This window comes from Homo sapiens, chromosome 10, assembly GCF_000001405.40.
Source record: "Homo sapiens chromosome 10, GRCh38.p14 Primary Assembly".
Taxonomy (NCBI): Eukaryota; Metazoa; Chordata; class Mammalia; order Primates; family Hominidae; genus Homo; species Homo sapiens.
This window is the reverse complement of record NC_000010.11, coordinates 61,012,819-61,027,676: the sequence shown is the minus strand read 5'-3', so window position 1 is coordinate 61,027,676 and position 14,858 is coordinate 61,012,819. Positions and strand designations below refer to the sequence as shown.

The 14,858-nt window shown below is 34.5% G+C and overlaps 1 long non-coding RNA gene across 1 annotated transcript, besides 1 other annotated feature; it reads right to left on the bottom strand.

The window, feature by feature from the left end:
- Positions 1–1,259: 1,259 nt before the first annotated feature.
- Positions 1,260–11,402, bottom strand: LINC00845 (long intergenic non-protein coding RNA 845). The gene is made up of 2 exons (NR_108052.1): positions 11,336–11,402; positions 1,260–1,885 (listed from the first exon to the last, which is right to left on the bottom strand). It is a non-coding gene; the product is annotated as a long intergenic non-protein coding RNA 845 (long non-coding RNA).
- Positions 14,000–14,200: a silencer, noted in NCBI's record as "peak951 fragment used in MPRA reporter construct". NCBI's record gives its function as "represses an SCP1 promoter by STARR-seq MPRAs in K562 erythroleukemia cells {active_cell/tissue: K562}" and the evidence as "EXISTENCE:reporter gene assay evidence [ECO:0000049][PMID:32103011]".

The window sequence follows — 14,858 nt, the reverse complement described above, 5'->3', positions numbered from 1 at the left end:
CAAGCGAGTTTTAACTTTTTTTAAAATAACAAGTTAGAGCTTTATAATAGATATTAAAGAAGTTTCATCTTATAGCATATGTTATATGTTTATTCTTCCTTTATAAAACATTTAGTTCACATGGAGAGAAACAAGTGGTTTATGATTATAAAACATATTGAAAAACACAACCATCTTCAGATATTGTATGTTGGATAAATAACAATCATGGGAGTCACCAACTATTGTGGATACAAATATATTTTTTGAGTCATGCTGGCCATTAGACAGTGGTAACACCAATGAACAGAACGAAAAATTTTATCCTAAGCTGACTATTGAAGTGTTGCTTATAATACTGCCCATTCATTCTCCATGTAATTAGTCACATTGCTAGTTTTGATAAGAGAACTTAGTTTCCCATATCTTTTCTGATTTCTTGGGTATTGAACAGTGTTCTATGAAGGGATAAGGACAGAATCTGATATCAATTCCACTTGTGATTTGAAACCTTGTGCACATCAAAATCACACTTGGAATAGGTGGAGCCATATTCTGAGTCTTTTATACACCTATCCGTTCAGTTATATCAAGTAAATATTGCCGTTAGTAAAAAGTATGCACTGTTTTCTGAATCACTGTGCCTGATGGCATTCTTTTGTAAGAATGTCAGCAGCCTAGGATCCATATCTTGACCTTTCAGAGCAAGAGCCCAACTTACCACCTGATTGTGCTACTTAGACTTAACTACCTACTCATGTCCATGTTCCTGAACGGTTTCCTCCTCTGAGTCTAAGACCAGACAGAATCAATGATCAATTAATAATTGACAGAGCTCCATATTCACAAGCTGAGTACTAACTTTGGCTATGTGGATTTAGATTTGGCTCCTCTCTGAGATACAAGATACTGTTTCTACTTTCAAGAAAATTACAACCTCCTGGGGAAGTCAACACAAATACTTGGAAAGTTAAATAACCATGCAAAATATAATAACAAGGTTGCAGTGCAAAAAATATCAAAGGACAGTAACTGGTTAAGTGTTAAGTGAACAATATTGAGATCAGTAGTTTGCAAACTGTGCTCCAGGTAACCCCAAGTGTTGGGGTGGGAGTAGGGTAGCTCTCAAAGCTGCACAGAAAATAAGAGAAGTATCAAATACATCGAGTTTCAGCCCAATCCCACATCCTGGCTTCCACCTCCACCACGGTCACTCTCAGGTTTTTTTGGTTGTTTTTTTTAATTTTACTTTCTATAGTGGATCTTCACACACACAATTTCATATCAGAAAAGGACCTTGAATTTATTTTTTGAGCCACAGATATATTTTTAAATGCTATAAGTTTCAAAATTACATAGTATAATCACTATGATCTGTTGTGGTGTAAGGTTTCTTGGTGAAGGAGCAGTGAAGACTCTGCAGATGTAGATGATTTGTGTAGTTAGAAAGGTTCCAGTTAAATGATTTCATAGAAATAATAACAATAAAATAAGAAGGGTGACTTAAGAGGCATCATCTTGGAGAAAAGTCAAATCAAAATCCACACTGTCATCATTTTATAGGAGAAATCCATGTACAAATACATGTATAAATATCTTTCTCTAGGAAAACTCGAGGAGAAAGAGAAGTTTCCTAGTAAATGAGCAGAGATTTGACTGGCCCAACAAAGAGTCTGTGTGGGTGCAGTTCCTGGCTCAGCTAAGGCAAACATGACAGCTAGATCAGTTTCCGAAAGGATGAACGGGTGTCCTGGCTTGCCAAAAACCACTGGAATGGCAAAATAGGAAAATTGGGTCTTCTCTCAAAAACGTTTTACGCTTGAATTGAGTAGACACCCTCCAGACAGAAAGGTAAGCCGAGGACACTCTATGAGGCACCATTTCTCTCTTCAGCTGACATCAGGACCTAGGAACAAATAGAATATCAATTCTGCTGTCATTGACTGAAGAGATAGAATGGGAAGAAGTCAAATTCATTCCTCTCAGCATTTGCAGTCAATAACAATGGAATTCATGTGTATTATTTGAGCACAGGTAATGTGTTGTTCTGTTATACAAATAGAGCAAAATAATATACCAAGTTATCATCGGTATTTGTTATGGACCACATGTTTTTGTTCCTCCAAAATTCATATGTTGAATACCCATTCCCCAATGCCATATTATTTGAAGGTAGGGCCTTTGGAAGGTGAAGCTATCATGCTGGGATTAGTACCCTCATAAGAAAAAGGATAGAACAGCTATCTACAAGCCAGGAAGAGGATCCTTATCAGAACCCAACCATCCTGGCACCCTGATCTCAGACTTTCATCCTCCAGAACTGTCAGAAATAAATGCTTATTGTCTAAGCTAACCATTCTATGGTAACTTGTTACAGCAGCCAGAGCTGACAAAGACAGCGAGCATTCTTGGGCTGCAAGCACAAAACTGAAAATGCATAATTTAAGGCAAAAAAAGAAGAAAAATAGAAGAATGCAAGAGTTTCTTGTAGAATTAAAGATGATGACCAACCAAACCTCAGAAAGGACAAGAATAGGGCTGAGATTTGGGGAATCTCAGCTACAGAAGCCTGACAATCTCCTCTCTAGCAAAAAATCCAGGCCATCAGCGATCATCCTTAGAGGGTATTGATCATGTGCCCTTGTGGATCATACTCATCTACTGAGAACTCTTAAGGCAAAGGAACATAGGTTATAATGAGCTCTTTGTGTAACTTCTTTAAAAAATTGCTCTTTCTAATTAATTGTTAGACTGTGAGCAAAGCCAAAGACCCCTAGTGGCCACAGTAAAGGCCCACAGCGGTTGCAGCAAACAGTGCCTAGAGCCCAGAAGAAATTTCCTCTGTCCCGGTATGGAAGCACAAAGAGGGAATCTGGGTCAGGAGGCAGGCAGTTCCTGATAGTCAAAGAAAAAGATGAGAATATTATTAAATATAGTGTGAATACATAAAATGTAACAACACTTGAAACCAAATAGCAACTCTCTCCTTGAAAAAAAAATTATATTGCTTTCTTGGGAAGCATATATCTAAAATTATAATTCAGATTGCTTTAGGTTCCACTCAGAAACATTTTGTTAAAAGATTGCCTTACATCAGATTTGAAAAACATAAGCAGACTTTTACCAAATATAGACACAAGGATCATAAACTGAAAATAGAAACCATAAGACAGACTCTGGAAAGGAAGGGGATATTGACATTGTATTATACTTGGCAGTAAAGAAATAGAAATCCATAGTGATTTACAACCTTTACATAATAATAAAGAATTAACTGAAAAAATATTCAAACTATCAGAAATAGCAAGACACTTTTTAGCAATAAGTAAGAAAGAAGATTTATTTAACTTTGGAGGGGTTTGGCAGAAAAGGACTAAAATGAGAAACAATAATATTACATATTAACTTTGTTCTTAAACATCCACATTTAATGTATCAACTTTGGCTGTTGTTATATGCCTTGGCAATTCAATAAAGTTACTGAAATGGAAAATTGAAAAATTTTATTGTGATTTTTCCAATTTCTCCACTAGTGGAATAGTTTAATAATAAACCATTGCATATGCTTACAGCATTCTCATTAAAATGAGTGAGCTATCATTTTTCTTTCTATTCTTAGTTATCAGCTACTTTATTTACCAGTGCGTATTAAGTAGAACACAAAGCTCAGCTAACCGTTTTTGGAGGTACCTTTTGAACAAGCAACTATTATCTACTGAGAAGACATCGAGTTTTTAAGCTGGAAGGAGCCCTAATAGTTTTATATTACATATGTCACATTTTAAATGAGGAAATTGAGGCTCAGTGAGATTTAGTAACCTGTCCTAAGTCAACAGCTACTCGACGGCAGAGAGTCACGCTTCCAGACTGTCTTATTACAATAACTATCCTAGAGTCCTAATTTTTTTCTCTATCAGCTGTTGAATATAGGCCTACAGATTCCTGTGTGGCAAAAGAAGAAAAAGGTCAAGAAAAAGAAGACAAAGAAGACATCCTTAATTTATTAAGAGCCTACTTTAGCCTTATCACAGGGAATTGTAGTTTGAAAAAAAACAATTCCATTTGTATTCACCTCTGACTAGGCATGGAAATTTTCCTATTGGATTTATAAAACTGTCCCCAGTTTTTACATTTTTTAACATTCTACAAAATGTCTCTCGGCATTCACATCAGATTCATGCAGAATATTGATGACTCTCTAATTTGTAAGACAATATCTTCATAGAGTTGCATTAATTCCTTTGTTGGTCTTTGCAGAGTAAGTCTATTTCTAATCTGGTACCTGCTATTAAGCTGCTCATATCACTAATTTATTTTCCTTTAAAATAGCCATTTAGGCATGCTTTATTTGGCTCAGACTCTACATAAAACATTTATGTTAACTATTAACCCTCCTGAGGCAGTGGGCTTGATCAGAAGAGGAATGGCTTGGAACTGAAAGAGCCAAAGGTGGATCCAACTTTCAGTTCAGTTGCCAATAACCCATGTAACATTGAGCAAATCATTTATCTTCTCTGAACATTTTGTCTTGTGTAAAATGAAGAAGGTCAACTTTATGACCCCTAAGATTTAAATCTCTGTATTTCTAAATTGATTATTTTTAAGCCAAGCCTAACAACAATTATTATGCTTGTACCCTAAACTTACATCCCATTTGCCCCTATATACCTGGTTCATATTTCAGCTCTAGCACTGAGACAAGAAAATAAAATACAATATAGTGTGATGTCTCTGTTACTACACTATGAACCCCATGAAAGGTTAACTCATTTTTATAGGCTCAATGCCTGGCAGAGCAGATATTCTATAAATGTTTGAGGTATGGACGAATAAAGGAATTATTGCTACAACTTAATAGTAAGAAGAGCTTAAGTGTATGATTTAACATTATCTCTGTAAATAGCCCAGAGATCATAATCCTGAATCTTATCTGAAGAACTAGCACTTACATATAATTTTGCCTGTTCACAGCATAATGGACTTCACAGTACATCTCTTAGAGCTTGAGCTCTTCCTGCCTGATCACATACTCTTAACCTTCCTTCTTGACCATAAGCTTTTTGAGAACAAGATCTGTGTGCCTGATTAATCCTACAGTTGCATACCTATTCAAAGCACTTATGAAGTCTTCCACCAATTTTAACTGATTAAGTGAATTTAAAATAGTGGTCAAATAAAATAAATGATGTATTTGTAACAAAGTACTTTTTTCAGGGAAAAAGGTTTGGAACAAGTTATCAGTGACGATAAAATTCTGACTTGTTACCCTTTCACTCTATATTAATCTTAAATTTTCATCTCTGAAAAGAAATCATTTATTCCTGGTTACTTTATTTTTCCTTCATATATGGTCAGTTCATAATGAATGTATCCAATAAGATCTCACAGAGCAGAGAAAGCATGAAGCCTGTGAAATTTCAGCTGTGATTCCAAAAAACAGTCTTAATAGAATTGTATTTTCATGTTTTCATTTTATATAAAATGCAGTGTTGTGGCATAAGCATTTCTCCTGACTTGCATGCAAATTATCTCTGTGTTGCTTCAATAGAGTCTTTGTCAAATGTTAATAGTCCACTACTCTGCATGCTATGAAAGAATAGCACAATATTGAGTCCCAGTGAGATGTCTTGCCCTCTCTTGACTTACCATGTGATTCCATTTTCTTAAAGAAAATGTCTTTTTATTTTCAGGCGTGTCTATTTCTCTGGTCGAGGGTTGTTTTTCCTACATGCAGTTCTTTTTTCAGGCAACATAAGTTCCTTGAGTGCTATCTCCTAGCTTTCACAAATTTGCAATTCCATATTGGCATAAACAATCTATATTAACATATATATAATGTTAATATTTTCTAACTCACTTTTAAATAGTTACCACAATTCTAATTATGCTATTAATCCATTATAATTAGACTCATTATTACAAATATGATTTGTTCGTAGGGATCTTCATTATTGTAAGTAATATTTTATGTTACTGTTATAAATGCTACCAATAAACCACAATTGTTAGAAACATCCTTAATGTATTTAATATTTGTTTTATCAGGTCCCTCATAATCAACATGGACATATTTATGTCTATATAAACTTCAAAAGAACCAAATGATCTTTTACTCCTAAAAAGTTCCTGACATGTTAATAAAAATAATAGCTAAGATGTATTGAGTTCTTGCCATGTGTCAGTTACTCTTCCAACACTAAATGCATTAAGGTAGACTACCTCATCAATGTTCACAAAGTTGCTAGGAGGTAGAAGTTTCAATTACCCTCATTTTACAGAGAAGAAAACTGAGGCTTAGACAGGTTAAATAATTACACAAACATTTAAACTAATAAGTGATAGAGGTAGAAGTCAAACCCAAACCCTTTCATTCCATGTTACTGTGCTTTGAGGGTGAGGATGAATCTGCCTATTTTGGAAGTTATCCATCATACTTCTTGTATCTGCATAATTATTTCTCTAAACTCAAGTTTGCATATCATTTTAAAATTCTGTCATAAAACCAAAAGTATGTAAAGAGTGCAAATTGAAATCTTTGCAATAGAAATTATAGGCTATCAAAAATATAATGAATTATTATTACTGAGAAATTAGCAAATAGAGTAAATCAAATAGGAGCATAATGTAAGTATTATATAATTATCAGCATAGTTTCCTAACTGTGAATTTGCTAGTGTTGACTGATTAATTTTAAAGTTAATAAGCTTATTCACTGTGTACCTTGGAAGCGTTTTCTCTTTAGTGTGTAAGGTTTAAAGTTTAATTTCTTTCACAGAGATTAATCAAAGGTTTTCTAGCCGCCAAAAGATAATAAAGCAAAAAGTTTAAAAGTAAATTTAACCACAAAGGTTTTGATAGCACCACATTACATTCCATCCATTTCAGGAATTGATTTTTGTAAAGAAGCAAATATGTAAAATCTGATATTCATTGTTTCCTTTATTATTTTCCATTTACTGTAGTCCAATTAGTATCATATTCATGAGGATTATGTGCATAAAATAAGTATGAAACCATTTTCTCTCTGAAAGTTTAAAAACCTATGAGCCCTTTAGAAAATATGACTAACATATTATCTTAATAAAGGTAGCTTACAATTCAGGAATACTTCCTGGTTCACTATCTGGAACCAAAACTATACGACATTTAGCTAAAATACTGCTTGCTTTAATTTTGTTTTATGAAAAGTAAAAAGTTTAAATATTTACACTGGGGAGCAAATTAAGTTACTTGAGAATATAAGGATTTCACCCAAATAGACTTTAGAGCAAAACAATGCATTATGGTCTATTTCAAAACCACTGTTCTAGTCACGCATCAGAAACTTACTGAAGGTTTATCATATTCAAGACCCTATGAGGCATACTCTATGGGATATGCCTTCAAAGATCTCATCTTTTAGACTATTTTGTTTATTTTGTTTGTTTTTGTTATGAAAATAATAAAACAGACATCGCTTCCACAGCAGCTAGATTTAAGAAAGGTTAAATATTTATTAGCCTATTGTTATTATGTAAAAATCCAGTAGACATATCGACAACTCAGTTTTTCACTTAGAATTCTGTACACTCCAGCCTTCTGAGACATATGGCACTACAAACATTTCTGGTTTGCCAAACCGTCCATTAAGACTGCCTTTCAATTGAAATAGAAATGATACTTATGTACAAGGGTGATTTTACAGGAGTACATTTTTAAGAATTGTATTGCTTTTTTAAAGAAATGGAAGGTGAAGGAGAACAGGGATAACGTGCTAAGTGGTTATGAACTAGTGGACTATAGGAGACACAGCTGGATCCAATGCTAGTTTTTCCCCCTACCAGATACATAGACTTAGATGTGTTTTTCTCATCCATAAATAGACATAATTGTGCTATTGCCCTAATAGAGTTTTTGGGAGAATTAGATGATGTAATTGAAGCACTTAACACAATGATAGGAACAAAGAACTTATTCAATAAATGGTAGTCATCTTCATAATTATTAGAAATGAAGTAATCTGGAGAGGAAGAGGTAATATGTCATTTTTCAGGGATGCCATAACAATAATTTTTTTTTTTTTTGAGATGGAGTCTTGCTCTTGTCACCCAGGCTGGAGTGCAATGGCACGATCTCGGCTCACTGCAACCTCCAACTCCAGGATTGAAGTGATTCTCCTGCCTCAGCCTCCCAAGTAGCAGGGATTACAGGCGCCCACCACCACACTTGGCTAATTTTTGTATTTTTTTAGTAGAGATGGGGTTTCACCATGTTGGCCAGGCTGGTCTCAAACTCCTGACCTCCTGATCCACCCGCCTTGGCCTCCCAAAGTGACAACAATTTTTAAAACTGCAACAACAACAAGAATTTACATCACTATCTATACTTCCTTGGTATATTATTGTAAAGCAACTAAGTTTGGGTTGGGCTGAAGAATGAAGTGCAATTCCTTCATGATTAGTGATTTTGAGGGACTTTTCATGTGTCTGCTGGCCATTTATATGTAAATTAGTATAGCCATTAAGGAAAACAGTATCGAGGTTCCTCAAAAAATTAAAAACACAACTACCGTTTGATCCAGCAATCCTACTTTTGGGCATATGTTCAAAGGAAATAAAATCAGAATCTCAAAGAGATATCTGCATTCCCATGATCATTGCAGCATTATTCACAACAGCCAAGATAGGGAAACATCGTAAGTATCCATTGAGGGACAAACGAAGAAAGAGAATGTGAAATATATATAAAACACAATATCACTCAACCATTAAAAAAAGAAGGAAAGCTTGCCATTTTTGACAACATAGATGAACCCAGAGGACATTATACTAAGTGAAATAAGCCAGACACAAAAAGACAAATAATGTATGATCTCATTTATGTGTGGAATGTAAAGAAGTCAAATTCATGGAAGCAGAGAGTAGAATGATGGTTGCCCAAGTCCAGGAAGAGAGAGAAACAGGGAGATGTTGGTCAAAGGGTTCACGTTTTCAGTTATAAGCTTTAGGAATCTAATATACAGCATGATGACTGTAATTAATCATACCATATTGTATACTTGAAATTTGCTAAGATAGTAGATCTTAAGTGTTCTCAAAAATAAAGGTAACTGTGAGGCGATAGATGTGTTAATTAGATTCATTGTGACAATTATTTATTGACATATATCAAATTATCACATTTTTTCTTAAATATATAAAATTCTTATTTGTCAATTATATCTCAATAAACCTGGGAAAAAATAAACTTCACACATCTTTTATTACTATAAGCCATGTAGTTAAGAGATGTGAAATGAGTAGTTGACCTAAGGAAGAACCACATGTTCTGAAGAAACTGGGGATAATTAACTTGTTAAATAATTCACTAAAATTAACCATTGGTCATGTTGTGAACCCTTTGGTCATGGTTGAAAAGGTTATGTAAGACAGTGATGCTTACAATACAAAATTCTGTGTATAAAATTCCTTACTTGAGCTCAAAGATCCCATTATAAGACCCAGATTGGAGTTACACCAATGCAAAAAGGTAAAATAAGGGAAATGGCAATGTTCTGGTTATTTTTCTACCTAATATTAACTATAAAGATGAATCATAGAAAATTGCTTTTGGTAATAAAAAATAATTAAATAACAGTAATTTCATAAGGCAAACTAATAGTTTGGCTGGGCTTCTTCATGACATAGTCTGAGTTCAGCATAGCATTGCAAGTCTACATCACAGACCAGAATAACTTAAATCTATTCTTGTAAAGGCCATTGCCCAAGTGAAGAGGTTAGACAAAATAGCAAAGAACCAATTTTCTGAAGGAAGCTGAAGAACGTAAGTATAATAACATTATGAAAATGTAGTTGGCTATGTCAAATCTGCCATAAGAATGTATTTTCTTTAAAGCAATCCTTGCACAATCCTTAGACTGTCAATTATCCTCAAGTGGCCAATAATCCAATTCTACTGGTTATAAACTTGTATGCGTGTCAAACCCTCTTTTTGAATAATTTTGAGCTCTGAGCTAAATCCTTTGCTTTAAAAAAAATTAATTTGAGGAATGATAGACATAGCTAGCCTATATATTTCAGGTTCCTAGCTCCTTCCACAGCACATGGAAAACCTCACTTCCCAATGCACTTGCAGTTAGGCAGGACCACGGGGCTGAGTTCTGTCCGGTGAAATGTGAGCAGGGCTGAAAAACTGAAAAGGCCCATATAGCCCCCTTTCTTACTGTAACAATCAAGGAAGCCTTGAATTGAGATTTTGAGTTTACAGAGAAACAAAATCAAAAGACCTTAAATTGCCAAGCCACCTTGTGGAAGACAACTGAAGAATCATTCAAATCCCCTGGGTCTGCATGAGGAAGAAATTAACTTTTATTGTGTAAAGGCATTGAGAGATTGGAGTTGTTTGTTACCTCATAATAACCTAATCTATCCTGACTACAACTAACTTCAAAAACATACAGGGCCCAAACAACTGGTAATTCCTCAAATACTCTGCTTATTACTAGGCTATTAAAGAAATGCATATAAAAAGAATATTGAATGGAACTACAGTAAAATGACATCAGAAATTAGAATATAATCTTTTTAATTTTTTAATTCTTCAAATTTTCTCTACTTTGGAGAGTTGTTTAAAAAATTAAAAACAGAAAATTTAAACATCCCTCCCCACAGCATATGCCCCCTTTCCAGAAAAGTCTTGGATGTGTAGGTATTTGGTTTTGTTTGTTTGTTTTCGTCTTAAGGAAGAGTTAGTTAGGGTTGGAGACTGAAAATTTGCAACTGGGACCTGAGATTTGAGATCTAAAATCTTCAATCCTGTTTTATAAAAATGTGTCTAGAGAGGATTGGATTAAAGCCTTTGGAGAACCAAGCCCTGGAGATATTTTGTTTGGCCCTGATCCCTCTATCTATATGTAATTCAATATGGCAAAGCAAAGTCATAAATATGAGTAAGGAATTCTAACCAAGTTTAGATGTTTTTTCTTATAACTACACTGTTGTTCCTTATTTCTCTTTCTTATTTTTTAAAACATCAAAGATTAAACTGTTTTCAAAAGAGATTTTTTTGTCCATTATTTTGCTATAGCCCTAAGCACTGTGCCTATATAACTTAGAACAAACTACCATCAAGTGATCAAATAAGGTTTGTGTAGTCACTAAATTTCAGTATGAAATTGAGAAGAGTCATATACATATAAAAGAGGATAGTTTACCTCACAGAATAATCAAATTAGGCTCTTCTTAGTTATTTAGAACAAGATAGATAAAATATCCAAAATAGTTTCAAAAATCAACAAACAAAGTAATGTAAGTTTCACCTGTAGAGAATCAGTTTCTAGCCTTGCTTCTGGAGTTTTAAGCCAAATAGAGCTACTCACGTGCAATCCTGCCAATAAAAATGGACTAAATCCCACTAGCAAACACTGTCTTCAGTGTTCTCCCTTTCCTTCATCCTTGCTTCTTGCTCTCACCTACTCTACCCAAATTCTGAACTTTGGATGTTTGCACTTTTGAACTTAAACAAAAAGAATTTGTTCTCTGGTTTTTACGCCCTGGCATGCCTCAGGATTCTCAGTGTAAATGGCCTGCAGCCCATCCTGCTCTGCTACTGTTCTGCAGAAAAACTATTATAGCTACTATTTAGTGAGCAATTGCTATATGCTAGGCATGTGCTGAACACTTAATATATTATCACCTCAAAATAATATCCACCATAGCCTGATTGATGAGTATTTACCATATTATCATGATTGGGGCAGCGAAGAAACTTGAGAAAATTAAATGGCAAGAGACCAGGATTTGATCACAGATCTCAATTCTATACTTTTAACTACTACTTATATCATTTCTGCCACCATATTTTCATTAAAAATATATATTTACCAAGCACCTACTATGTTCTAGGTTCTGTGCTAAATAATGATTATAGAGATGTGAACATATAGACAGGGTCTCTAGTTTCATGGCAATTGCATTTTAATGGAGATTATGTCATAATATGTAAATAAATAAATAATCCCATTTTCAAAATTGGCTTTTAAAAATAGGTTAAAGTGATGTGGAAGGACTGGAGGGGTATGTGGCCACATTAGATGGGTAGGGAGGAAAGGAACATTGAGAAGGAACCAGTCATTTGAAATTTTGGGCTCTGAACATTCCAGAGAGAATTACAAGTTTACAGATGCAAGGTCAAAAATGAGCAAGCTATCTTCAAGAAATGAAAAGTCATCTAGTATCACCAAACTTAGTGATAAGAGAGTAGATAGAGTTAGAGTTGGTCCTACAGGGCCTTGCCAGCTATGCTGAGAGAATTTAATTCTAGGTGCAATGGGAGCCACATTTTAAGGAGGGAAGTGGCATAACTGTAACATAATTTTTTAAGTATAGGTAATGCATCCTTTTTAATAATGGAGAGAGGCGCAAGAAAGATATTAAAGTATAAGGTAAAAAGACCAAAGCATAAAAGCCTAAAAACAAACAGATTTTTGTACCTTTAGCAATCCGTTCTATCCTAGGAAATAATGGAGTAAGTGGGAGACGAAGGATCAGATTTTAATTTACTAATATTTAATGATATTAAGATCTCTGGCTGTCATCTCTTCAAGCTTGGATATCCTCTTAAGGTCAAATACTTGCTCTCATATTGGCACTCTAACATTATGGTTTCAGAATTCCAGGTACTCCCTGCAATAAATTCCAAGGTCTACAGTTTCTACTCACAAAGCATGTTATAGGTGGAAAATGAATACATTACTACCATAAAATAATTTATTAGGCATTGCATATTGAGAAAGCAAAACAGACAGAATCCTTATAATCAAAGACTTATCTTCTTTTATGGAATGAAAAAAGTTGGTGCCCACATGTACAAAATCCACCTGGACAGAGTTTATAGAGATGTCATTTTACTATTCAATGTTTTCTTTTGTAATAAAACTCAGAAGGCATAGTACTGTAAAAATATGTATTTTTTAAACTCTGAGACTTTGTTAATAAGAAAATGAAATGAATCTTCTGCACAATCCATGGGAATTTGGTTACAGAATTTACAAGTCACCTTTGTAACAACTACAAATAAATTTCCAAATTCCTTTCAGACATACACCATCCTATTGCAGCTTCCAAGGCTGAGAAAAAAAAAAAAACTATCAAAGTTAAAAAGATAAGACTACATCCAAACCTTAACATTTTTTTTCTTTAATCCATGGCATAAAATCTCATATTAACTAGCTTATGAGGAATATCATGAGAAATAACTATCAAGCTTAAAATCCGGAGTCTGGAGCCAGAAATTCAAATGTAGAGGGAAAACACAGGAACTAAGGTGACTTCCAGAATAAATATGAGTGTCCTAGAAGTAACAAAGAAAAATATTCAGTGTATTTTAACAACTAAACTGCAGGGTAACTTCATGCCCCTGGGAAAAAGAAAATCTTTATTTTTTCATAAAAGAATAAAGAACACACACATTTTGAGAACAATAAAAGCTGTAACTATGGAAAGGCCATCTGGGCAACTAGATTATCTCTACAATACACTCTTCACTATTCTATTTAGTCGTATTTTAAGTACCTCAGTAAATTAGGTTTCCATTCACTCTCCTTAAAAATTTTCTACCAAACCATTAGGTATTATTGCTAAGCAGTAACCAATAATCCCTACCAACTAGTTTAAAGTATGCTGCATGCCTAGGTTTTACTGATATTCTTATTTCTATTTTTTTTCACTAGGATCATCTTATCAAAATAATGTTTTTTATGAAGGTTAAAGTTCTAATCGGGAAAATAGAAGCTGGCAGCGGCTTAGCAGTGAGTTAATTTCTAAGACTCCAAAGGGAAAAATAAAATAACCTATAAGGTCTCCTCTCATTTTGTATTAGTTGTAAAATAAACAAAAATCTAGGAGAGATCCCTTTTCCTTCATGGGCACCTTTTGGGGTTGGGATATTTGGGGAACTGAAATTCCCTGGGCTGCCTAACACACGTATGTATGAGCACAGTGAGGCACAGCCTAAGACCTCCCACTTTCTCTAACTCATACTTGACAAGAAAAACAAGATTCTCATCAAGCTCACTCTGCAGCAGCGTGTCGCAGTAGAAAATACGCAGAATGAGAAGTCAGAAAGCTTGATATCTAGTCTCAGTTCTGCCAGGATCTAGTGGTTTGACCATGAGCAAGCCCCTCGGGCATCTCGAAACTCAGCATCTTCATTCACACAGTGAACTGTAGCCAAGGATCCCTCCAACCTCAAAATTTTATGATATGATGATACTCAGCTAAGAAACTAGAACTAGACAGTCCTAATTAAAATATTATGCCAATAGTTACACAATACATGTGGCTGAATATGAAAATGTAAAAATTCATGCTGCCAATGAACATGTAAAATTTTAGAGTGGGAAGAAGGGAGTTTTCGATAGCTTGAAAAAGTAGGACAAACCTTTCTTGTATGTGAGAAGGAACAGTGAGAAGAATTTGACCATGTATGAATATTACTTCAAATCTCAAGTCCTATGGGTACATTCCATTGTAAGAGAAAAATCAACAAATTTAAAGAAGATGGGTGAATCTCAAGTCATATTATTATCATCCGTAAGAATTCAAAACTGAAAAACCCCTAAATAGATATCAAACTTCTTTTATTTGGCAAATTAAATTTCCTCTCCAAATATCATGGTAAATTAACAAACTTTCTTCTCTTCTCATTTTTCTTGAAATTGAGAAATGATTAAAAGGCATAGGAGAGAAGAAAGATATAGAAGGGTGCTGAATCATCCATACCCTTAGCAGATATCCTGTAATTAAAATGTTGGATTTGGGCTGGGCACGGTGGCTCACGTCTGTAATCCCAGCACTTTGAGAGGCTGAGGTGGGCAGATCACTTGAGGCCAGGAGTTCAAG